The sequence below is a fragment of the Homo sapiens genome, chromosome 5, assembly GCF_000001405.40.
Source record: "Homo sapiens chromosome 5, GRCh38.p14 Primary Assembly".
Taxonomy (NCBI): domain Eukaryota; kingdom Metazoa; phylum Chordata; class Mammalia; order Primates; family Hominidae; genus Homo; species Homo sapiens.
In genome coordinates, this window is record NC_000005.10 from 146,590,261 (window position 1) to 146,616,261 (window position 26,001).

Consider the following 26,001-nt stretch of genomic DNA (forward strand, 5'->3'; position numbering starts at 1 on the left):
TCACTGTCTTTTCTTTTTGGAGCAAATGATACCATGTTATGGCCAGCTTATGACACCATAGGTTTTATTAAAAACAAAAACCAAAAAATGAGAACAGGCTCTGCAGTGTGATTATTGGCTTTTTGTTTTTTTTTTGTGTTTTTTTTTTTTTTTTTTGAATCACTGAAAGCAATAGGATTTTTGGCTGGGTTTGGAAATGAGGGATGGTGAGAACTCTCCTTGTAATTTGCTTTTGCTCAATAGATTCTTTTTGCTTCTTTGGCTCAGAAAAGGTGTCCACTGGTTTTAATGATCCCAGTCCTACCTACCTCCCATCAGGAATGTGAGACTAGAATGAGGTTTGTCGAAGTAGACACACTTTTGAAAACAATAAGCAGTTGTACGTGTTTAAGGTTTGGCCACTGTCAACAGGGTTCCTGGGCCGTCTGGCCTCTAAGGCTTCATGGCATCAGTGCAGTGAGGGGAGAGATGCTAGTGGCATCGTGCACGAACCCGGGGCGCGACCTCTCCCCTGCCGAGAACTAGCTCTGAATTCGGCCTTTTTAGAAAACTTATCTACGAAATGGATGTCATCATGGTCTTATCTAGGAAACAAGTAAGGAAATTCAAATTTTAAAAGAATCTGGGATGGAGAAATAAAAAGATTTTATATGGTTTTTTTCCCACACTTAATGGACAGATGGTTTCCACATTTTTATAAGTTATCCCCTCTTAGGCATAGCTGCAATCGATCAGGAGAGTGGCAAACACCCAATGTCTTCCAGAGGCAAGGTACTGAATGTTTAATGGTGACATTTCAGACACGGTGACAAGCTGAGGTGGGGAGGGAGAGATTCCTTGGGCCAGGGCAAGTACCCCAAGTGCCATCACACGGTGGTTCCCCTGGAGTGGGGGGCTCCTACTCATTTCTGGGTGGAGCTCTGACTGGCTCCTTAAGATGGGAGAGCAGGAACTCTCGTGTATTTCTCAAATGATTTGGGATGTGTAGAGAGGTGAAGGAAAAAGCTGACAAGATTGGGCCACAGCAAGGGGGATGTGTTTTTGGGCACGTTGTCACCTGTACCAGGTAAATTAAGCAAAGGTTAGATTTTGTTACTCTGGCTCATCAAACTGATACTGTGAACTGTGTCTGTGTACTCGAGTGGACTGTTATCACCTTGTCAGGCAGGGCGCTGAGGGCTTTGCCTCCATGATCTCGTTTCAACTTCTATTATCCCCTAAAAGGGTTTTACAGAGAAGTAATTTGCTCAGTGTCACATTGCTAATTGGTGGTAAAGTCCACCCTCAAACCCACATATGGTTGACTCTGGGGCATAAGTATTCAGCCGGTTGGCCTCACTGCTTCCCATACTTTGACGTTTGCTTGCCCACCATGACCCGACTTATTTTTAAACAAGTAAGAGATTATTTTCCAAAAAAAAAAAAAAAAAGACTACCAACCTTATCTGAAAGAGAAATTAAACTTCCCAGTTGTGATGTTATAGAAAGAGTGTTGATCTTAGGATTCAAACTCTAAACTTGTTACTTTTGTCTCTACTACTTACTACTTTATGAGGTTGGGCAGATTACTTTATCTTGCTAAGCCTCAGTTTCCTTAACTGTAAAATGAGAACGATGGAAGCAATCTTGTTAGACTGTGGTTGGGATTAAATAAAATGATGTGTACGAATGTGTTTGGTATATAGTAGGTGCCTAATAAGTGTAATTTTTGAATCAAGGCTAAGATAGAGGAAAAACTTGAGCAATAATAACAGATATGTAAATAATAATATATGAATAAATAAATACCTATAAATAAATAATAAAATGAGAGGGCTGGCTTCTTTTTCCCATGGTGGATTTTGTTCTTATGTCACAGTTGCTTTGCTCTCTGTCCTATACCAACTGGTCAGTGTGACTTGGGTCCTTTGCCACGTGGAGACTCCTTCCAAGCCTGCTAAGGAGGGGATTCATTTTGGATCAGTGGCAAAGAAAGCCAAGAAACAGGTGGAGTGTGAGAGAGAGACAGTTCATATTCACTGAAAGCTTGAATCTCTGAATGTCTTGCCATAACAGAATTTCTATGCTTTCAAACACTATTATTGGTGCCACCTTCATCAAGGAACGAAATCAGCCCCTGGTAGCTTGCACTTAGTTCTCATGGAAATCAGAGAATCATTTGTATTTGTCAAACTAAAAATGAACTATTGGGAGGTATTATGAAGCACTGTTCAAATCAAAGGCCTTAAAATAGTAATAAATCACTTTGAGGGAATGTGATAAATGAGGTTGACTAGAATTCAGTTAATGAACTACCAGGGCCGTTGGCCAGGTCTCCACTAGCAGCTTCAAGGGATAATTTTTGATCTGGAAAGCCTACTTGGCATTAATCTGAACTGTTCAGGCTGGAATTTGCTGGTGGATAAGTGATCTTCATTTAGGCATGTTGACCTAGTGCTGGAGGTGTCTTGTGTGAAAAAGATAGGACTTTCTTATTAACATTAAGGTGTTATCTGTGCCAGTTCAGAAACAGGATTCAAAGGCCTTACTACATCCTTCTCTTCTTTCCAGCCTTGACTTCAAGGGTCACTAGGGGCCCACATTATGCATTTCAGCCAGGTTTTGGGGCCCAATTTTGACCTCCCTTTGGCTGTACTCTACTTAGGATAAATTCCCTGAGCCTCTTCAAGACAATCTTTGGAAGGTTCTTCAGCCACAGAGCCTTTCTTACCTGTCTGACCCATTCCACACACACTCAAATTTATCAAAAATGCAGTCATTTTCATAGAGGGAACACAGCTTGCTGCGGAGGTAGTCATGAACCTGGAGAGGAAACATATCGAGAAGGTCAGTTATTATTTTAAACAGTAATTATTTCTGCAAACACCTCCTCTTCTGATGTGAGCTGTTAAATCTTTCATTGTACATGCTCTTTGAATCAGATGGCCTTGGATCTGAACCTAGGCTTGGCCCTTTTAGCTGTAGGACATTAGGATGGGTTGATGAGCTTCTCATGTAGATGATATGGATTAATCAAGCTTGCTTGTATAGACAGTGGCATCCAGTAAGACTAAATAAGTGGTAGATTCTCATTTTCTAAGCTGATTTGCTCACAGGCATTAGAGATCACCATTCATGCAGTCTTTTATTCAACAAATATTTACTGAATACCTACTACGCACTTGAGATGCAGCAGTGAGCCAAATATCCTTGCAGTGCTTTTGACCCAGTGTCAGGTGACAGATTATATAACCAAGTAAATAAATAAGATGTTTAGATGGTGATAAAATCATAGAACAAAAGTGTATGGAAAAAGAGCCTGGGAGATCTTGTCGGGGGTGTATTATTTTATACAGGGCAAGTAGTCAGGGCTTCACTGGATGAGGTAGCACTGGAGCAGAAGCCTGCAGGAGATGAATGAGCCACAGTGATGTCTGGGTTTGGGGTGAGGGGAAGGCTCTCCAAGCATAGGAAACAGCAAACATAAAGGCCTAGAGGCAGGAATCCTGGAGGGAGTGTGGTGGGAGAGGAGTGAGTAAGCAGCTGGGGGAGAGGATGATCAGTTTACATAGGCCCTTTATTCTGAGGAAGAAGAGACCTCACAGAAAGGATTGCTGAATCTGCTGTGTTGCAATGGATCCTAAGGGTGCAAAGGCAAAGGGAGGGAGACCAGTTATAACCTGAGTGATAGATTCTGGCCTGGACCAGGGCATGAGCAGTGATGGGGACTGGTCAGATTCTCCTTTTGTTTAGGGAAAGAGCAGATAGGACTTGGGTCAACTCTGAGGTGTGGAGAGAAAAACAGGAGTCAAAGATGACTCCCTGATCTTTCTCCTGAGCAAGTGGAAGGAGTAGGTACCATGTTCACTTTTGGGTACAATGGTTTAGAGATGTCTACATGTGGAGCTGTCGAGTAGACTCTGAGGTGAAAGGTGCTGTCCTGGAGTATGTGGCGATTCTTTCCTGGTTTCTCTTTTCCAGTGAAAGCAGCCAGCATGGTTATCAACTAAGAGTGAGCAGGAGAGAGAAAGGGTTGAGAAACAGTGTCAGATTTCTGGAAGGCACCAGGGGACACTTGACGTTGTTGGACATGTATGTCAAATAAGGCTCATCAAGCATAGTTGAATATTTTTCTCCAGCTACATTCAGCAACTCAGCTGTAGATGCCAAATAGATGAATAAGGTTCAGAGAGTAGTAGCCTGGGTTCTCTGTTTTGAAGGTAATCCTTCCTGAACCCACTAGCACGGAGTGGCAATAATAACGGGCATACCCAATATGCTGGCTTGTCATTATTAGCCAGGTGCTTTATCTGTCAAAACCTCATTTCATCTCTAAAGCCATCTTATGATGTAGGTACTTTCATTCTCTTTACTTTAATGGAGCATGAAGCACAGAGATATGACATCATTTGTCCAAGATCACACAGAAAAAGTGACAGAAGGGGAGGGAACTGAGCCCCGGTATCAGGCTCTGGAGTGCACACTCTGAGCTGCACTAGCAACCTGCCTCCAGCTTGCTCTGGTGGGTCCTCAGTCCTTGACAGGAGCTGTGATAATGAACTCAAGTGAGGCTGAGAGAGAAGGAGATAGAACTGTGTGAAAGCAGAGGGAGGCTACCAAGGGCATTGGTGTTTAAGTTAAGAGTGATGATTCGATCTCTTTTTTCCTGCAACTGCGGCTCTTTCTCTTCCTTCGACTCCAACAGTTCTGCTGGATGCAGAGCTTCAGGCTCTTAGTCTTGGGCAAAGGAACGAGGTCAGGCTCATCCTATGTTCCATTAGATGTTCTGGGTATTTGAAAAGCTCTGAGTTATTTGGACAGAGGAAGTTATTTCTAACTCTGCAAATTAATTTTCCCCCACCTTTACTCTCTCACTTCCAAACAGTTCCAGGCCTTGTCAGGGTAACAGCTTCAGTGCTTTGGTGACAAGGGAATACCCCTACAGCAGTGCTCTTGGCATTGTTAGGTGCATTTGGGGGCTGCAAGGGTGAGGCTGTGTCCTGCCCTTACAGAGGCATCTCTGCTATAAACTAACTCATTCACCTTCACTAGGGGGCACAGCAGTAAAGGTATATAAACTGGGCAGTGGCAAGGTTTTTAAGGTCTAGTTCCATATGTCTGCTTTGTGATGAACCTTTCCTCATCTGTCACCATTCACCTTCGGCATTTTGTCTTATTACTCACCTGCAGTGTTTCTATAAGTGTCAAAACATGTGTGCTTTGGAAGTCACGCCCATTAGCAGGAATGACATTGCTGAGAACTCTGTAAATAATTCTTGAAAGATAGAAGTTGGGATAGATTCAAGGGAAAACCTAGTCTGAACCATTATTTCTCCACCATACCTAAGGTCTGGGTAGCTCCTATCTGCCTCCAATTGACAGCATTTAAAGAAAAAGAATGTCTACTATGAAGGTATGCTGTATTTATGTTTTGTTGCACAGAAAAAAAGTCTTCTTAGGCAAACCAGAGGGACCTTTTTCTACTAGAGGAAAGAATAAAGTGAGATGTATACATGAGCAACCTCTAGAGCTTGGAGCAAGAGAGAACTTAAAACTCATCCTATTTGATGTTCTTTCTTCATGTTCCTAGTATGACTTTTCTATGATCCTATTAATTTGTGCATGGGATTTTGGACGCCAGACTGAGTGTCCCAGTACAGTGTTTCTCATATTTATTTGTGGGAGTCCAGTGTCATATAGTTAGTGGACTGCTATGAGGCAAACAAAGAGCCAACTCTATTGGTCCGTTCTTATATTTCAAGTGTTGACAAACTTTTTCTCCAAAGGGCCGGATAGTAAATATTTTAAGCTCTGTGGGCCGTATGGTCTCTGTGACAGCTACTCAACTCTGCCATTGTGCATGGAAGCAGCCATAGAAGATATGTAAATGACTGTACATGGCTGTGTCTTAATAAAATTTACCTACAAAGACAAATAGGGGGCTGGTTTGGAACACACGTTGCAGTCTGCCAACCCTTGTTCTATGGAAAAACTTGAAAATAGCTAATCATACTTAAGTCTGCAGCCTTTTATTCACGGAAATGTGATTGAGATCTGTGAATGCATGTATGAAAATGTATAATAGTAGCATTACCTGTCTCCTTGCCCAGGGCAGGCATTATTAACTGATCTTTCATTAACTAATTTCTTTCCCACTGGACCTCACAACCTATTAACTAATTTCTTTCCCACTGGACCTCACAATCTATCATGGTGTTCTGGAGGCTCACTGAATCAGAGTTTGTTTACCATCATCTTTAAATTACTTCACGTAAAAGCTAGCTGGCTGTGTTCTAAAACTAGCTTTGTCCTAAATCTACTCTTCCTAGTTAAGGCTCCCCAGCAGCCACACATGGGTCCTAGTTCCCACTGCCCTTTCTTTTGCATTAAGGATTCGAATCCTGTAAGGTTTGTCTTATGCAGCTGGAAGAGGACACTGAGGTGACTCTAGTCCTGGGCTAAAGATGAAGGGCTGCAAATGAAAGCTTGGGGGCAAGTGATGTGGAGCCAAGCCCTGAAGTCGAGGTAGGATTCAGGAGACAGGAACACTAAATAACAGGGAGTACGATGGACCACAGGGGAAACAAAGCTATCTCCACTACATATATGGCTGTGAATTCTGGCTCCCAAACCTTTCTCCAGCCCTGCTGGAACACAGAGTCATCAAAGTCTTCAACCTCCTCTCTGAACCTTTCCTTCTTCTTCCTCTGACTGGAATTTGGATCTCCTCTGAAGACACTCAAGTGGTAGCTAGAATTTTGCTGTCACTCCACATGCCAGTGTTGGGTAGCTGGGCTCCTTGTTGCTCCAGACAACTATTCCTATTTAAAGTCTTCAACTCCTTTGAAGTCATGCCATCAAACTAAGCTTCCTGCTACCTGTCCTTCTTTCAGCCATCAAAAGTTCTGAGTCCCTAATCCTCATCCCTTGAAGCAAGTTTGTATCTCTGTCTCTCTTCCATTACTATTCCTGCCACTATTTTTAGTTATTCAGGCACTCTAGTCTCTCTCTTACATGGTCTCATCTATTCAATGTGTTTTGTCCTTTGCTTCCTTGGTCATATTATGAACCTTGTCATTGCTATCCCTGTACCTGTCATTGCTATCCCTGTTGCTGTTGTTACCTCCTGTCTTTTTAGTTCACTCCTTCTAGTATGTTGATTCTATCAATTCTTAAAATTCATTATTTCCCCTTTTCCCTACCTTCGATTCAGCAGTACATCGTTACAATCAATCACTCCTTTAGCATATATATTCAACAAGCTTGCCTTTCTTGCTCTCTCTTTCCATTGTACTCATTTGGCAAAACTCCATCACTGGTTAAATCTTACTTTCTACCCTTTGTTTACCTGTACCAAGCAGGTGAATGTGGCTGGGAAGAAACATAAAATCATACAGGTTAATTTCCCTTTAAAGCAATTATATAGATTTCAAGTGGATCCCTGAGCAACCCTACCACCCTACAACATTTCTCTTAGATGAGTACTTTACCACTTTTCTTCCTTCCCATTCAGCTAATGACCTTACTACTTATTTTACTAAAGAAAACACCTACATGTTCCCATCACAAAATTCACAAACCTACTTCATCTATATAAGAAAACTACTCTCCTTCCTTTGATAGATGAATTATCTTTGCATCTTACCATCTACAGCCAATTCTGCAATGGACTCCATCCCCTCTGGCTTCCCCCAAGGGCTTTGCTCCTTCAGCGGTCTCTCTCTAATGGTCTCTCTCTCTAGTGGCTTATTCCTATCAGCAGAAAACATGCTGTAATAACTTCCTTCAGCCAGAATCCCATTTCAGCTACCCTTCCATTTCTCTGTTCTCCTTCAGAGCAAACTTGTTGAAACAGTTGTCTGTCCTCATAATGTTCCCATCTTCAGTTTCTTGAACTCACTCCAATTGGACATTTATTCACACTGCTCTACTGCTGTTCCTCTGTCATTCAGGTTACTGATAATCTCCACTTACTAAATCCAAGTTCGTAGTCTTCTGTACTTGATTCAGCAAAGCATTTGGCAGTTGATGACTTATTTTTCCTTAAGACAGTTTCTCTATTTGGCTTCCTAGTCACTCCTCTCATCTCACTGGCTAGTTTCCCCAAATCTCTCTTGCCAAATCCTCTTCCTATTCTCAACTAGGTCATATTTTCTGACCTCTTCTTTAATTATACTAATTGTCTAGAAGATCTCATCCAGTCCTATGGCTTTAAATACCCTCTACATACTTGTGAGTGTCAGATTTATATCTTGAAGCTAAATATATCCAGACTCACATTGAAGTGTCTACCTGCTGTGTCTGTTTGGATGTTTAATTGGCTTAACAGAGCCAAAACCAAACTTTCGATTTTCTCATCTAAATAACTTGGCAACTCTACTTTTCTAATTGCTCAGGACAAAAATTTTGGAGTAATCCTTGATGCTTCTTTCTTTTCCTGTTATATCCCGCATCAAATTTGTCCTCAAGCCTTATTGCTTTTACCTTGGAGATATATCAAGAATCTGGCTACCTTCATTGCTAATACACTCATCTAAGCTACTATTGCCGCTTGCCAGAATGTTATAACTATTCTCCTGTCTCTTCCAATGTCCCTCCCACAGTTTCTCCTCCCCAGCACAACCAGAATGTTCATTTAAAAATGTCAATGATGAAAATGATCTGGAATTAGATAATGGTGGTTTGTGAGTAAACTAAGATCATTGAATTGTGCACTTTGAAAGGCTGATTATTATGTACATTATATCTCAAGGAAAAAATGTAAGTCAAATCCTTCTGTCTAGAATCCCCCACTTCTTTTTATCTAACCCCAAATAGCTTAAAATAGGGTTAGTTTATCTCCAGCACTTGATCTTTGCTTTCATTATACTCTTGCTTGGACCTGGATTTTGCTTCTTTAAGTCCTCTCTACTTCAAAGTCTGGTCTTCCTCTTTCAACAAAACCACCCTATACAATGCCTTTTCCTTTGTTTCCTTGCATTTACACCATCCACCCAACACTTAAATCCAAAACTTCCACACAGTCTTCTTGATTCCCTCTCCCTGCACATTTGATCAGTAAGCAAACCTCACTGACTCTTCATCCTACCCATCCTTCCATCTGCACGCTACCATCACCAGACCAAATTGCCATCATCTCCTCTTATCTAAATTGTCTGTTTGGCAAACTGCAAAGTGAAACACACAGTAAAAAGTAAAACTCACAATGTTATTTCCTGGTGTAAAACTTTAATGGTCCTCCATTGTACCCAGTCCACAGGCAAAACAGCCTACTGTATATTACCAGGGCCTAGTGATCAGCCCCTTGCCTCTATCTCCAGGCTCATCCTTCTGCCTTTGTGATTCATATTCAAGGTGTAAGCACCCTGAACACACCTCATTTCTCTTGACACCAGGCCTTTGAACACACTGTGTTTTTAATTATTACACTGTAAGTTCTGAGATACATGTGCAGAACATGCAGGTTTGTTACATATGTATACATGTGCCATGGTGGTTTGCTGCACCCATCAACCCGTCATCTACATTAGGTATTTCTCCTAATGCTAGTCCTCCCTGAGCCCCCCACCCTCTGACAGGCCCCGGTGTATGATGTTCCCCTTCCTGCGTCCATGTGAACACACTATTTTAAGAGCATGCATTTCCTGACTAGTTCATGGCAGTTAAGACTCAGTTTAAGGGTCACTTCTTTGGGAAAACCTTTCTCACCTGGCTGGACCATCTCTTGCAGAGAGGCACACTCAATTCCTTGTTCATCATCTGACTTTTCCACCAGATGGTAAGCTGCATGAGAGCAGGACCATTTGTTTACCTCTATAGTGTCCATTCCACATGAAGTGCTCTGTCCATATCAATTAAATTGAATTCTAGCCTCTCCACATGTACCGTTATCTTAAATCCTGTGGCACTTATAGCCTGTACCATTTTACTGAATGTATCACCATGCATTGCCTTCCATTTTGCTGCACTGTAAACCTTTGGAAGCAGGGGCTGACTTAAAAGCTCATGAAGGGAATGTTCAATATACCTATGGGTGCCTGGGGTTCTATACCTGGTAAGTCTCGATGGGGCGGTTTTCCATGTTGAGATCCCAGACTTTGACGGTCAAGTAGTCCCTGGTCATGATATACCTCCCACTGTGGCTGAACTTCACATCCGAAATCGAAGAGATAATTTCAGAGAAAAATGATCTGTTGCTTGGATCTTCCGGCTCTTCAAAAACTGCAGAACAAAAGCAAAACAAGACAAATTTAGCAATCCTTATCAACTGACTCTAACATGTTTGGACTGGCTAGGAAGCTGACAGTGTAACTGAGAGTCTTAAGTAGGGCTGGTGTCTGCAGAATGTAAGTTGCTAATAGAGAACTGTCATCTCTCTGGTAGCGGAAAAAGCTGTCATTAGTTTCTGGATTTTAATTCTCATGGAAGGACTGGCATGGGACCCGTCCCATCATAGATCTGGCACTGACAGATCTATGTATCTAACTCTGTTTCTGTTTCCCTTGGTATCTGGGTGTCACTGCACAAAATCTGGAGTCATGTTAAGATAGTTAAAAAAATTTGTTTTACAGCTTTAGTGAGATACAATTCACATACCACAAAATGTAGAGTTCAGTAGTTTTTAGTATAATCACAAAATCATTGCTATAATCTAAATTTAGAATATGTTCTTTACCTCCCCCCAAAAACTCCATATCCATTGGCAGTTACTTTCCATTCCCTGCTCCTATAGTACTAGGTAAACACCATCTACTTTCTGATTCTCATTCTGGAAATTTCACATAAATAGAATCATAGAATATATGGTCATTTGGGACTGGCTCCTTTTACTTGGCATAAAATTTTCAAGGTTCATCCATGTCGTAGCATGTATCAGGTCTTCATTCTTCCTATGGCTGAATAGTATTCCATTGTATGAATATACCACATTTTGTTTATCCATTTTATGAGCATTTGAGTTGTTTCCACTTTTTAGCTGCTAGGAATAACACTGCTATGATTATACATGTATAAGTTTTTGTCTGGTCATATGTTTTCATTTCTCTTGTTGGCTCACGGTGTTTAATAGTGAAACTTTGGCCAGGTGTGGTGGCTCATGCCTGTATTCAGCACTTTGGGAGGCCTAGGCGGGAAGATCACTTAAACCCAAGATTTCAAGACCAGCCTGGATAACATAGGAAGATTCTATTGCTATAAAAAGTTAGCCAGGCATGGTGGGGCATGCCTGTGGTCCCAGCTACTTGGGTGGATGAGCTACTATTGGGCCACTGCACCCCAGCCTGGGCAACAGATCGAGATCCTGTCTTCAGAAAAGGAAGAAATAAAAAAAGTGGTGCTTTCTTACTGGACTGCCTTGGGTCTAAGCCTGTCATTTACTTGTTGTGTGACCTTAGGCAAGATACTTCTCTGTGCCTTAGGTTTCCTTATATGTAAACTGTAACTATGATGTCTTTTTAAAATTAACAAAATTTCTAAATTTGTATAAACTTAATGGGTACAAGTGTGGTTTTGTTACATAGATATATTGCATAGTGGTGAGGTCTGGACTTCTAGTGTAACCATTAGCCAAATAGTGTACATTGAACCCACAATGTCTTTTGTGTGGATTGTCTATTTGCACTGATATCCAGGTTCTTATTATCTCTCTCAATAGCTTCAGCTGATTTCCACTTACAGGAAAAAGGCATGGCTTCTCAGTATGTTATTGGAGCCCATCACAAACTGCCTCTAATTCTTTCTACCTTGATTTTAAGTTGGATGTATAGAGTATATCTCGATATTTCCCACTTCTATTCATTGCCTGATTCTTTCTTCACTGATCCAAATACTCTTTGATGCATATACCTCATCTACTACATATTATTTCACCCCAAATGATCTTTTCTTTTCTCTGAAGCCCTATCATGCTTGGTCTGGTCATTTATTTAGTATTTGCTCAGGTACTCTCTTACAATGGAACTATCATTTTTCACATTATTATTATTATTTTAACAACTGATGAGTTTGTTTTATCTCTTCAACTAGGACATAAGCTTCCTGAGAACAGGATTTTGGTCTTATTTTCGTATTCAGAGTCTTACTCACAAATGTTCAATGAATATTTGTTGCTTCACTGGAGCCAAAGCCAGATAAATTAACAGATTCTTTGCCTTCTGGGTGCTTAGCATGTATAGTATTCAGCTGAAACATATGCATTTGCTGACATTCAATTATTTTTGACCTACAAAGATGGCAATTGTGTATGGCTAAACCGAATAAGGGTTTATATCACAATTTTAGGCTGAACCAAACACTGGCCTGCAGGTTGCTGAGTTAACTTATCCTCCAAGACTACTTCTTTCCTGCCTGCTCAATGCACTCGCATAGTCAGTAATGAATTCTATATAAAGAACCCAAGTATATAATTAAGTTGCTGAATTAAACCGTGAACTAAGCCAAAACGTTAATTTTCACAGAACCATTGAAGAGAATAGCAACAAAAGCCCTGATCAATCAGAATTGAAATTGCAAAAATTTTAAAAAAATCATTGAAACAGAAAAACATGGCTTATTACAGCCTCTGACCCAATGTCTTAGTCTCTGCCCTCAGCTTTTGGGCTTCGGCTGAGTATTAGTGAAGGCCCCTGGATTCTGATTGGTATCTTCATAGTTGAGAACTAGATAGGAAGAAAATTTTCACATTAGTTTCAACTAACAGCTATGTCATTAGTATTGGAGGTTTGGAAATTCCAAGTAAAACACCTGATCCAGAGGCAGTAAAGTGGATGGGCTTAGTAAATTGTGCTCTGGAGTCATCAATTCCTGCCTCTGTCAGTTACTAGCCATGATCATTTTATTTACTACTCCAGCTTTAGTTTTCCCAGCTGCAAAAAGAGGAGCCACATTGCTTGGCATATAAGCTTGGTACGCAGTAGGTCCTCAGTATATGCCATCACTATTTTCATTTTCAGCATGCACTGCTTCTGTGCTGGCCAGTCATATCTCATTCAACAAGACTCTTGAGAATTTGGGACCAAGGAGTACAGAACCTGCGGACTATTTGAAAGACATAAAGAATGTTTACATTTTCTCTTCTTTAAACTCAAATCTATTTTATAATGTTTAAATTGACAACAAAATTGTATATGTTTATGGTGCCTTTCAATGTTATACATAGGAATCTGTTTCCCAAATACTTGGCATATTGGGAAGCCAGTGCAGCAACACTGTAAAGCCTCACAATGACACCTTCACAAGATGGATGTGAAATGAAAGATGACAATTCTTCAATCAACCTACCACCATTTATTTGTGGAGTGCCGGCTTTAGGTAGCACACAGAGGGCAAGGTACAGATAACATACCAGCACAGCACTTTGTAGTTCATGACATATCTATGTATATTCAAGTTTTAATAGCAGCTCCAGGAATTATTTTCCTTCCTTGGGTAATAGCATTTAATAGTATTAATAATTACTTTTGATGGGAAGCTTATAATACTGCAGGCCCTGTGCTTTACATGTTTTATTTCATTTAGTTGTTAAAACAGCCTATGAAGTAGGAATTATGATTCTTCATTTTATATATGTGGATAACTAAGGCACAGAGAGGTTTTATAACCAGTCCAGGGACACACTGAGATAGAGCTGCATTTTGAACTCACATCTATCTGACTTCAAAATCTTTGTTCTTAATCATGATGCCATGTAGAAGACCTTGCTGAGCATTCATTTATAAGTTAAGTGTCTTGTATGCACAGGCACACACACATGCACAATATAGTATATTAGCTAGAGTCCACAAGTAAAAAGTATTTCGATACGTGCCAGGCCCTGTACCAAATGCTAAAGACACAATAATGAACAAGACAGATCCAGCACTACTCCTAGTGAGCTCACAGGATAGAGGAGGGGACAAATGTTTAGCAATCACACAAATGTGGTTACAGTTGTGAATAAGTGTGATTTTACTGTGTTATCAGACGGAAATCATGGTGCTATGGAACTGGCTAGTGGAAGGTAAATGGAACACCAGTGTGTGTTCCATAAAATTTACTTCTCATGCCCCCTGCAATATCAGAGATGTGCAAAATTTGTTGAACAACAGTATCTGGTGCCTGAGTGATAGAACTTAGGACAAATCAACACTAGCCTTTCTCCTGGAGACCCTTGGCTTGGCATGACAGTAGAGAATCTGCTGACCTGCAAGGTTTCCAATTAGCTACCAGAAAATAGAGACATTGAGAGGAGAGAGGAAGAGAACTAAGGGAGAGACAAGAAGAGCTTTGCTCCCTTTGTAAGGAAGCAGTCTTGGTGAGAAACCTGATAGCCCAGTCCTAGCCACTGGGGGTATGTCAGGTTCACCAACAGGAGCGTATGTCTTGGAGACCCCAATAGTAACAGTAACAACAATAATGACATTTGCTACCACTTCTTGGTCCTCAAGCTTTAAATACATTATTGCATTTTAATGCTCAAACTTCTAAGGAAGGTACTATCACTCTTCTCATTTGTAGATAAGGAGACAGACCAGGAGGAAAGGTTCAGTAAGTCACCAGGATCATGCAGCTAGGCAGTGGTAGAGATGGGCTCTTGACTCTGCCCATCTGTCACACCACCTCCACAACAGGGCCTTGCCTTGCTTTGTCAATATTGTTTCCCTGTTCAAACAAGTCAAACCAGGATTCCTCACATTCTAGATATACCTTGTATAGTCCCACTTTGGTGCCTCTGTTGCTCCTCACCTCTTCCTGTGCCCATCCAGGTACACTGGAAAGAACATCAGACTCAGGGATGCTGGGCTGGAATCCAGGCTGGGCACAAGTCCAGGCTGGCTTTTGATAATACCTATCATCTACTGAGCTTTTGTGCTGTGTGCTCTACATGTATTAACTCACTCACTATTCATAGGTTTTAGTACTTTTCCACAAATTAGTCTAATCAGTCAACTCAGGTACAACTCACAGCTAGTAGGAACAGAGGCAGAATTTGAACTCAGTATACTTCCAGCTTATGTTCTTAACCTCTGTCCTACTCTCTCTCATCTGTGTGGCTTTCAGCAACTGTCAACTCTCTGACCCTGTTTCCTTCTCTGTAATATGAAGGAGTAAGTGTTGCCTACCAGGTCCCTCCCAGCTGTTGGATTCTAAAATCTATGAAATTCCACTGGCTTTTCCATTTCCCTTTCCTAATCCCCACTACTCTAGGTAGCCTTTCCAAAGTGACTTCAGCAAAATGTTCAACCTGTGATATGTCAGGCATTCCAGATTCCAAAGTCAAATAAGCTTGGGAAACCTCGACAATTTTGGGAGTTGACAACGCAATTACCCTATTGTTGGGGCATTATAGAATGTTCAGCAACATATCTGGCCTCTACTCACTAGATCTGCCCTGCTGACTCCATCTGCCCACATGTGGCAACCAAAATGTCTCTAGATATTGCCAAATGTTCCCCAGGGGGCATGACTGCCCCTGGTTGAGAATCACTGCTTTAATCCTACTTCAGAGTATTATTTGATCATACCTTTCTCCCCACTCCATTTTATTTTTATTTGGCAAATCATTTGCAGCTCAGTGTTTTTCTAGTACAGGCTTCCTCAGAATACACTTTGGGTTATATTGCTATAGTCAAAACAACTGAATACTGCCTTTAAAATTCCATAGGCTATCTTATGTGCCTTGTGTAGACGTGTTTTCTGTTATAACATGTACAGATATGAATAGATCTCCATGGAGCTGTAAGTATCTTGTGGGAGCCCCCTGAAAGGGCTCAGATGACTGGGTAAATAAATAAGGTTCCAGAATCTGGGGAAAATCTTGAATTCAGTTATTCAAGAATTCAAAAATAAGAGAAAGAATTAAGAAGAAGACTGCCAACTTTAGAGAAACCTAAAGTGAAACAGCATTCATTACAACTGGAGCAAGGGCAGAAAGGAGGCATGCAGTGAGCTGGTTGTGGACTCTGGGGATAGGAGAAGAGAGAGATTAGGTAACCACAGGTGCAGGCTGTTGCTGGGTGTGGCTCCTTTCTCTTGACCTTACACTGGACCTTCATTAATTTCACAGGAACTCATGCCCATGTAGAGGGGTTAGGAGGGGCCCAAGACCACTAACAGCTGATCCTGAAGGCCTGTTCACTCTGTCTTAGATGGTGTGGTGACTAACAGTATAGGTGGTTCCAAACACAGTGGCCTGGGTTGAAACTCCAGCTTTGCTGCTTATAAATGATGGAGCTTTGAACAAGCAGCTTGACTCCTTCCAAGCTTCATTTAATGGAGATAATAGTAGTACCTATGTTCTAGGGCGGTTGTGAGAATAGACGAGATCTTGCTTGTGAATCACTTAGCAAAGCGTCTGTACCCAAAACAATAGGGAAGGCAGCAGTAATGCAGAAGTAGGCATTGCTTAAGGCAAGCTTGGTGTGCAATGAGTCCAAAAGCCTAGTGTTTTTCCGTTTGAGGCAGATCTTAAGAACCAGTTGTGGTACTGATTTCTGGGTTTTCTGTCTGGGCTGCGACACAGACACATACTAGCTTGTTTCTGAACTATCCCTTGAAATACACCTCCTTGGTCCAAGTGTCTCTCATTTCAATGTCACCCCCACCCTGGCTGTGATGACGCGGGCAGATGAGAGTGAGTGTACAGGAAACAAGCCAGTGGGACATGAGGGTCCGCTCACGATGAAAAAGGAACGGGCTCGGAATCATGCGCAGGGCTTTAAATTGCTCACTTTTGCTGACATTTCTTCTACAGGGAAGCACGGCTGGCACGTTCTTCCGTTTGGAGACATGGTTGACAATTTCTCCATAATGGGGACACAACTGGCAATTTTCCTACAGAGTGAGGCAGATGGCAATTTTCCTTCAGAGACATGCAGGCAACAGTTTTGCCCCTGGAGAGAAAAGCCTCGCCGATTGAGATGCAGCCAGTAATTTTTACTATACAGAAGACACATCCAATAATTTTGCCCAGTGAGAGAAACGGCCAACAATTTTCCCACAGAGGGTAAGAACTCCCTCGGACTGACAATACTGGCCTTTATCCAGCTGAGGACAGTGAGAGAAGAGGTTTAAGATTTAATTAGTGGCTACTGTGCTACCAGGGGCCTAATGACATAGTCTCCAGACACAGATTGGAGACTGCAAATTTAGATCGTATTAAGACTCAGATGAAGGATTCTGAATTGGGAAATAATGAAACCAAGTTGCTTAACCCTTGCAGTTTGCTTTTCATATAGCCCTCCATTAATTCAACAAACAGTTGTTTGACAGTGACACTTTAACAAGACAAGGCATACAATGCATAGCGTGATGAAGAATGAAAAGTTAATCTAGAAGAAATTATATTGGTCCCTAAGTTTTACATAACTTTTCAAAATAATTCTGCATCTACTATACTTCTTTTACAACATGTCTTTTAACAACTAATCATTCATTCAAAGTTAAGAAATAATGAATCAAAACCTTTTCTTTTCCCAGACAGGAAAAACAGACCAAAAATTCATAGTGGGGAGAAGTGAGGAGCAAATGGGCTGGTATGACCAAGAAAGACTTAATAAGAAGCTGAGCCTTAAATGATCAAGAAGCACTGGATAGATAAGAGGTTAGTACATATTTTAGACTTTGAGGGCCATCTGGTCTCCATTACAACTGTTTAACTCTGCCTTTGTAGTGTGAAAGCAGCATAGACAATATGTAAACAGATGAGCATGTATCCCACATGAAGGCTTTGCATATGGACATTGAAATTTCAATTTTGTATAATTTTTATGTGTCATAAAACACTATTCTTTTTTGATTTCTTCAACTATTTGAAAATGTAAAAATACTGTTCTTTGCTAGAGTTGTAAAAAAGAAAAGTTGTGAGTCAGACTTGGCTGTATGCCATAGTTTGCTGAGCCCTGATAATGGTGTTTGAGGGGTAGGAGGGGGCATCCTATCTAGACAGGGGAATCAGCATGAATAAATGCCTGGGGTGATCAATGCATTTTTGTGGGACAGTGGGCCCCTAGGACTGGTAGCACCATGAGATCATGTAGAAGGGCTGGAAGATGAGATTTCTGCTTAAACTGCAAATTTCTTTCCTAAACTACATCTCTCAGGATGGTACATGGAATGAACTTAGGAGTCAGACATATTGGGGCTAGAACCTGGGCTTCATCATCTCCAGGTTGGATTGTCTTTGTCAGTTTTCCTTATCTTGTTAAGACGCAACTTATCTTTAAAATGTAGACATCAATATCTTATTTGCCTGGTTATAAAAATGAAAAGAGATAAAAGCAAATAAGACATGTAGCACAGGACAGGCATGGTGGCTCACACCTGTAATCCCAGCACTTTGGGAGGCCGAGGCAGGTAGATCACGAAGTCAGGAGCTCGAGACCAACCTGGCCAATATGGTGAAACCCCATCTCTACTAAAAATACAAAAATTAGCTGGGCATAGTGGCGCATGCCTATAGTCCCAGCTACCTGGGAGAAGAATCGCTTGAACCCAGGAGGCGGAGGTTGCAGTGAGCCAAGATCATGCCACTGCACTCCAGCCTGGGCCACAGAGTAAGACTCTGTCTCAAAAACAAACAAGACATGTAGCACAGTGCCTGGTACACTGTCAGAAGTCACCAAGCCCATATCGAACATTTAAAGAAGAACTAATGTCAATTCTACTCCAACTGTTACAAAAAAATAGAGGAGGGAATACTTCCAAACTCCTTCTATGAGGCCAGTATTACCCTGATACCAAAACCGGACAAAGATATATCAAGAGAACTATAAGCCAATATCCCTGATGAATATATACAAAAATCCTCAAAAAAATACTAGCAAACCGAATTCAACAATACATTAAAAAGATCATTCATCATGACCAAGTGGAATTTATCCCAGGGATGCAAGACAGTTCACCATACGAAAATCAATGTGATATGTCATATCAACAGAATGAAGGAGAAAAACCCTCAAAAAACTGGATATAGAAGAAACGTACCTTAAAATAATAAAAGTCATATATGACAGAGCCACCGCTAGTATCACGCTGAATGGGGAAAAAACTGAAAGCCTTTCCTTTAAGATTTGGAACACGACAAAGATGCCCACTGTCACCACTGTTGCTCAACATAGTACTGAAAGTCCTAGATAGAGCAATCAGACAAAGGAAGAAAAGGCATCCAAATTGGAAAAGAAAAAGTAAAATTATCCTTGTTTGCCAATGATATGATCTTGTATTTGAAAAAACTTAAATATGCCACCAAAAAACTATTAGAACTGGATGTGGAGCCAAGATGGCCGAATAGGAACAGCTCCGGTCTACAGCTCCCAGCGTGAGCGACGCAGAAGACGGGTGATTTCTGCATTTCCATCTGAGGTACCGGGTTCATCTCACTAGGGAGTGCCAGACAGTGGGCGCAGGCCAGTGTGTGTGCGCACCGTGCGCGAGCCGAAGCAGGGCGAGGCATTGCCTCACCTGGGAAGCGCAAGGGGTCAGGGAGTTCCCTTTCCGAGTCAAAGAAAGGGGTGACGGACGCACCTGGAAAATCGGGTCACTCCCACCCGAATATTGCGCTTTTCAGACCGGCTTAAGAAACGGCGCACCACGAGACTATATCCCACACCTGGCTCAGAGGGTCCTACGCCCACGGAATCTCGCTGATTGCTAGCACAGCAGTCTGAGATCAAACTGCAAGGTGGCAACGAGGCTGGGGGAGGGGCGCCCGCCATTGATTGCCCAGGCTTGCTTAGGTAAACAAAGCAGCCGGGAAGCTCGAACTGGGTGGAGCCCACCACAGCTCAAGGAGGCCTGCCTGCCTCTGTGGGCTCCACCTCTGGGGGCAGGGCACAGACAAACAAAAAGACAGCAGTAACCTCTGCAGACTTAAGTGTCCCTGTCTGACAGCTTTGAAGAGAGCAGTGGTTCTCCCAGCACGCAGCTGGAGATCTGAGAACGGGCAGACTGCCTCCTCAAGTGGGTCCCTGACCCCTGACCCCCGAGCAGCCTAACTGGGAGGCACCCCCCAGCAGGGGCACACTGACACCTCACACGGCAGGGTATTCCAACAGACCTGCAGCTGAGGGTCCTGTCTGTTAGAAGGAAAACTAACAACCAGAAAGGACATCTACACCGAAAACCCATCTGTACATCACCATCATCAAAGACCAAAAGTAGATAAAACCACAAAGATGGGGAAAAAACAGAACAGAAAAACTGGAAACTCTAAAACGCAGAGCGCCTCTCCTCCTCCAAAGGAACGCAGTTCCTCACCAGCAACAGAACAAAGCTGGATGGAGAATGATTTTGACGAGCTGAGAGAAGAAGGCTTCAGACGATCAAATTACTCTGAGCTACGGGAGGACATTCAAACCAAAGGCAAAGAAGTTGAAAACTTTGAAAAAAATTTAGAAGAATGTATAACTAGAATAACCAATACAGAGAAGTGCTTAAAGGAGCTGATGGAGCTGAAAACCAAGGCTCGAGAACTACGTGAAGAATGCAGAAGCCTCAGGAGCCGATGCAATCAACTGGAAGAAAGGGTATCAGCAATGGAAGATGAAATGAATGAAATGAAGCGAGAAGGGAAGTTTAGAGAAAAAAGAATAAAAAGAAATGAGCAAAGCCTCCAAGAAATATGGGACTATGTGAAAAGACCAAATCTACGTCTGATTGGTGTACCTGAAAGTGATGTGGAGAATGGAACCAAGTTGGAAAACACTCTGCAGGATATTATCCAGGAGAACTTCCCCAATCTAGCAAGGCAGGCCAACGTTCAGATTCAGGAAATACAGAGAACGCCACAAAGATACTCCTCGAGAAGAGCAACTCCAAGACACATAATTGTCAGATTCACCAAAGTTGAAATGAAGGAAAAAACGTTAAGGGCAGCCAGAGAGAAAGGTCGGGTTACCCTCAAAGGAAAGCCCATCAGACTAACAGCGGATCTCTCGGCAGAAACCCTACAAGCCAGAAGAGAGTGGGGGCCAATATTCAACATTCTTAAAGAAAAGAATTTTCAACCCAGAATTTCATATCCAGCCAAACTAAGCTTCATAAGTGAAGGAGAAATAAAATACTTTATAGACAAGCAAATGCTGAGAGATTTTGTCACCACCAGGCCTGCCCTAAAAGAGCTCCTGAAGGAAGCGCTAAACATGGAAAGGAACAACCGGTACCAGCCGCTGCAAAATCATGCCAAAATGTAAAGACCATCGAGACTAGGAAGAAACTGCATCAACTAATGAGCAAAATCACCAGCTAACATCATAATGACAGGATCAAATTCACACATAACAATATTAACTTTAAATATAAATGGACTAAATTCTGCAATTAAAAGACACAGACTGGCAAGTTGGATAAAGAGTCAAGACCCATCAGTGTGCTGTATTCAGGAAACCCATCTCACGTGCAGAGACACACATAGGCTCAAAATAAAAGGATGGAGGAAGATCTACCAAGCAAATGGAAAACAAAAAAAGGCAGGGGTTGCAATCCTAGTCTCTGATAAAACAGACTTTAAACCAACAAAGATCAAAAGAGACAAAGAAGGCCATTACATAATGGTAAAGGGATCAATTCAACAAGAGGAGCTAACTATCCTAAATATTTATGCACCCAATACAGGAGCACCCAGATTCATAAAGCAAGTCCTGAGTGACCTACAAAGAGACTTAGACTCCCACACATTAATAATGGGAGACTTTAACACCCCACTGTCAACATTAGACAGATCAACGAGACAGAAAGTCAACAAGGATACCCAGGAATTGAACTCAGCTCTGCACCAAGCAGACCTAATAGACATCTACAGAGCTCTCCACCCCAAATCAACAGAATATACATTTTTTTCAGCACCACACCACACCTATTCCAAAATTGACCACATAGTTGGAAGTAAAGCTCTCCTCAGCAAATGTAAAAGAACAGAAATTATAACAAACTATCTCTCAGACCACAGTGCAATCAAACTAGAACTCAGGATTAAGAATCTCACTCAAAGCCGCTCAACTACATGGAAACTGAACAACCTGCTCCTGAATGACTACTGGGTACATAACGAAATGAAGGCAGAAATAAAGATGTTCTTTGAAACCAACGAGAACAAAGACACCACATACCAGAATCTCTGGGACGCATTCAAAGCAGTGTGTAGAGGGAAATTTATAGCACTAAATGCCTACAAGAGAAAGCAGGAAAGATCCAAAATTGACACCCTAACATCACAATTAAAAGAACTAGAAAAGCAAGAGCAAACACATTCAAAAGCTAGCAGAAGGCAAGAAATAACTAAAATCAGAGCAGAACTGAAGGAAATAGAGACACAAAAAACCCTTCAAAAAATCAATGAATCCAGGAGCTGGTTTTTTGAAAGGATCAACAAAATTGATAGACCGCTAGCAAGACTAATAAAGAAAAAAAGAGAGAAGAATCAAATAGACACAATAAAAAATGATAAAGGGGATATCACGACCGATCCCACAGAAATACAAACTACCATCAGAGAATACTACAAACACCTCTACGCAAATAAACTAGAAAATCTAGAAGAAATGGATACATTCCTCGACACATACACTCTCCCAAGACTAAACCAGGAAGAAGTTGAATCTCTGAATAGACCAATAACAGGCTCTGAAATTGTGGCAATAATCAATAGTTTACCAACCAAAAAGAGTCCAGGACCAGATGGATTCACAGCCGAATTCTACCAGAGGTACAAGGAGGAACTGGTACCATTCCTTCTGAAACTATTCCAATCAATAGAAAAAGAGGGAATCCTCCCTAACTCATTTTATGAGGCCAGCATCATTCTGATACCAAAGCCGGGCAGAGACACAACCAAAAAAGAGAATTTTAGACCAATATCCTTGATGAACATTGATGCAAAAATCCTCCATAAAATACTGGCAAACCGAATCCAGCAGCACATCAAAAAGCTTATCCACCATGATCAAGTGGGCTTCATCCCTGGGATGCAAGGCTGGTTCAATATACGCAAATCAATAAATGTAATCCAGCATATAAACAGAGCCAAAGACAAAAACCACATGATTATCTCAATAGATGCAGAAAAAGCCTTTGACAAAATTCAACAACCCTTCATGCTAAAAACTCTCAATAAATTAGGTATTGATGGGACGTATTTCAAAATAATAAGAGCTATCTATGACAAACCCACAGCCAATATCATACTGAATGGGCAAAAACTGGAAGCATTCCCTTTGAAAACTGGCACAAGACAGGGATGCCCTCTCTCACCACTCCTATTCAACATAGTGTTGGAAGTTCTGGCCAGGGCAATCAGGCAGGAGAAGGAAATAAAGGGTATTCAATTAGGAAAAGAGGAAGTCAAATTGTCCCTGTTTGCAGACGACATGACTGTTTATCTAGAAAACCCCATCGTCTCAGCCCAAAATCTCCTTAAGCTGATAAGCAACTTCAGCAAAGTCTCAGGATACAAAATCAATGTGCAAAAATCACAAGCATTCTTATACACCAACAACAGACAAACAGAGAGCCAAATCATGAGTGAACTCCCATTCACAATTGCTTCAAAGAGAATAAAATACCTAGGAATCCAACTTACAAGGGATAGGAAGGACCTCTTCAAGGAGAACTACAAACCACTGCTCAAGGAAATAAAAGAGGACACAAACAAATGGAAGAACATTCCATGCTCATGGGTAGGAAGAATCGATATCGTGAAAATGGCCATACTGCCCAAGGTAATTTACAGATTCAATGCCATCCCCATCAAGCTACCAATGACTTTCTTCACAGAATTGGAAAAAACTACTTTAAAGTTCATATGGAACCAAAAAAGAGCCCGCATCGCCAAGTCAATCCTAAGCCAAAAGAACAAAGCTGGAGGCATCACACTACCTGACTTCAAACTATACTACAAGGCTACAGTAACCAAAACAGCATGGTACTGGTACCAAAACAGAGATATAGATCAATGGAACAGAACAGAGCCCTCAGAAATAATGTCGCATATCTACAACTATCTGATCTTTGACAAACCTGAGAAAAACAAGCAATGGGGAAAGGATTCCCTATTTAATAAATGGTACTGGGAAAACTGGCTAGCCATATGTAGAAAGCTGAAACTGGATCCCTTCCTTACACCTTATACAAAAATCAATTCAAGATGGATTAAAGATTTAAACGTTAGACCTAAAACCATAAAAACCCTAGAAGAAAACCTAGGCATTACCATTCAGGACATAGGCGTGGGCAAGGACTTCATGTCCAAAACACCAAAAGCAATGGCAACAAAAGCCAAAATTGACAAATGGGATCTAATTAAACTAAAGAGCTTCTGCACAGCAAAAGAAACTACCATCAGAGTGAACAGGCAACCTACAACATGGGAGAAAATTTTCGCAACCTACTCATCTGACAAAGGGCTAATATCCAGAATCTACAATGAACTCAAACAAATTTACAAGAAAAAAACAAACAACCCCATCAAAAAGTGGGCGAAGGACATGAACAGACACTTCTCAAAAGAAGACATTTATGCAGCCAAAAAACACATGAAAAAATGCTCATCATCACTGGCCATCAGAGAAATGCAAATCAAAACCACTATGAGATATCATCTCACACCAGTTAGAATGGCAATCATTAAAAAGTCAGGAAACAACAGGTGCTGGAGAGGATGTGGAGAAATAGGAACACTTTTACACTGTTGGTGGGACTGTAAACTAGTTCAACCATTGTGGAAGTCAGTATGGCGATTCCTCAGGGATCTAGAACTAGAAATCCCATTTGACCCAGCCATCCCATTACTGGGTATATACCCAAATGACTATAAATCATGCTGCTATAAAGACACATGCACACGTATGTTTATTGCGGCACTATTCACAATAGCAAAGACTTGGAACCAACCCAAATGTCCAACAATGATAGACTGGATTAAGAAAATGTGGCACATATACACCATGGAATACTATGCAGCCATAAAAAATGATGAGTTCATGTCCTTTGTAGGGACATGGATGAAATTGGAAACCATCATTCTCAGTAAACTATCGCAAGAACAAAAAACCAAACACCGCATATTCTCACTCATAGGTGGGAATTGAACAATGAGATCACATGGACACAGGAAGGGGAATATCACACTCTGGGGACTGTGGTGGGGTCGGGGGAGGGGGGAGGGATAGCATTGGGAGATATACCTAATGCTAGATGACACGTTAGTGGGTGCAGCGCACCAGCATGGCACATGTATACATATGTAACTAACCTGCACAATGTTCACATGTACCCTAAAACTTAGAGTATAATAAAAAAAAAAATTAAAAAAAAAAAAAAAGAAAAAAAAAACTATTAGAACTGAAAACAAATTCAGTAAAACTGCAGGATACAAAATCAAGATACAAAAATGATCTCAACAGCAAATAATCTCAAGAAATTAAACCCATTTACAACAGCTACAAATTAAAAACCAAGGATTTAACTTACTTACCCAGAGAAGTAAAAGGTCTCTACAATGAAAATTAAAAAACACTGATGAAAGAAAAGGAAGGGGACACAAAAAATGGAAAGATATTCCACATTCATGAATTGGAAGAATCAATACTGCTAAAATGTCCATGCCACCCAAAGCAGTCTACAGATTTAATGGAATCCCTATCAAAATACCAATGACTTTACAGAAATAGAAAAAACAATCCTAAAATTTATATGAAACCACAAAAGACCCAGAATAGCCAAGGCTATCTTAAGCAAAAAACAAAACTGGAGGAATCACATTACCTGACTTCAAATTATACTACAGAGTTACAGTAACCAAAACAGCATGGTACTGGCATAAAAACAGACATATAGATCAATGGAACACAAGAACCCAGAAACAAATCTGTATATCTACAGTGAACTCATTTTCAACAAAGGTGCCAAGAACATACACTGGGGGAAAAGACAGTCTCTTCAACTATTTGTGCTAGAAAAACTGGATATCCATATGCAAAAGAATGAAACTAGATCCCAATCACTCAACATATACAAAAGTCAAATCAAAATGGATTGAAGACTTAAATCTAA

At 41.2% G+C, this 26,001-nt stretch overlaps 1 protein-coding gene and 1 long non-coding RNA gene across 12 annotated transcripts in view, besides 1 other annotated feature; one reads left to right on the forward strand and one right to left on the reverse strand.

The window, feature by feature from the left end:
- PPP2R2B-AS2 (PPP2R2B antisense RNA 2) overlaps positions 1–26,001 on the forward strand; it is a 59,059-nt gene that overhangs the window by 27,035 nt on the left and 6,023 nt on the right. For both annotated transcript variants that reach the window (NR_188288.1, NR_188289.1), the window contains exons 2-3: positions 16,709–16,960; positions 17,434–17,557. This is a non-coding gene — a long non-coding RNA (PPP2R2B antisense RNA 2). The remainder of the gene's footprint in view (positions 1–16,708; positions 16,961–17,433; positions 17,558–26,001) is intronic.
- The window catches only part of PPP2R2B (protein phosphatase 2 regulatory subunit Bbeta), a 500,779-nt gene that overhangs the window by 9,519 nt on the left and 465,259 nt on the right, over positions 1–26,001 (reverse strand). For all 10 annotated transcript variants that reach the window (NM_001271900.2, NM_181676.3, NM_181674.3 and 7 more), the window contains 2 exons: positions 10,031–10,200; positions 2,711–2,802 (listed from right to left, as the gene is read on the reverse strand). In NM_001271900.2, the coding sequence (NP_001258829.1) occupies positions 2,711–2,802; positions 10,031–10,200 (262 nt within the window). The remainder of the gene's footprint in view (positions 1–2,710; positions 2,803–10,030; positions 10,201–26,001) is intronic.
- Positions 19,458–20,098: an enhancer, noted in NCBI's record as "OCT4-NANOG-H3K27ac-H3K4me1 hESC enhancer chr5:145989281-145989921 (GRCh37/hg19 assembly coordinates)". NCBI's record gives its function as "activates a minimal SCP1, AML or CMV promoter by ChIP-STARR-seq in naive H9 embryonic stem cells {active_cell/tissue: H9 hESC(naive)}" and the evidence as "EXISTENCE:reporter gene assay evidence [ECO:0000049][PMID:30033119]".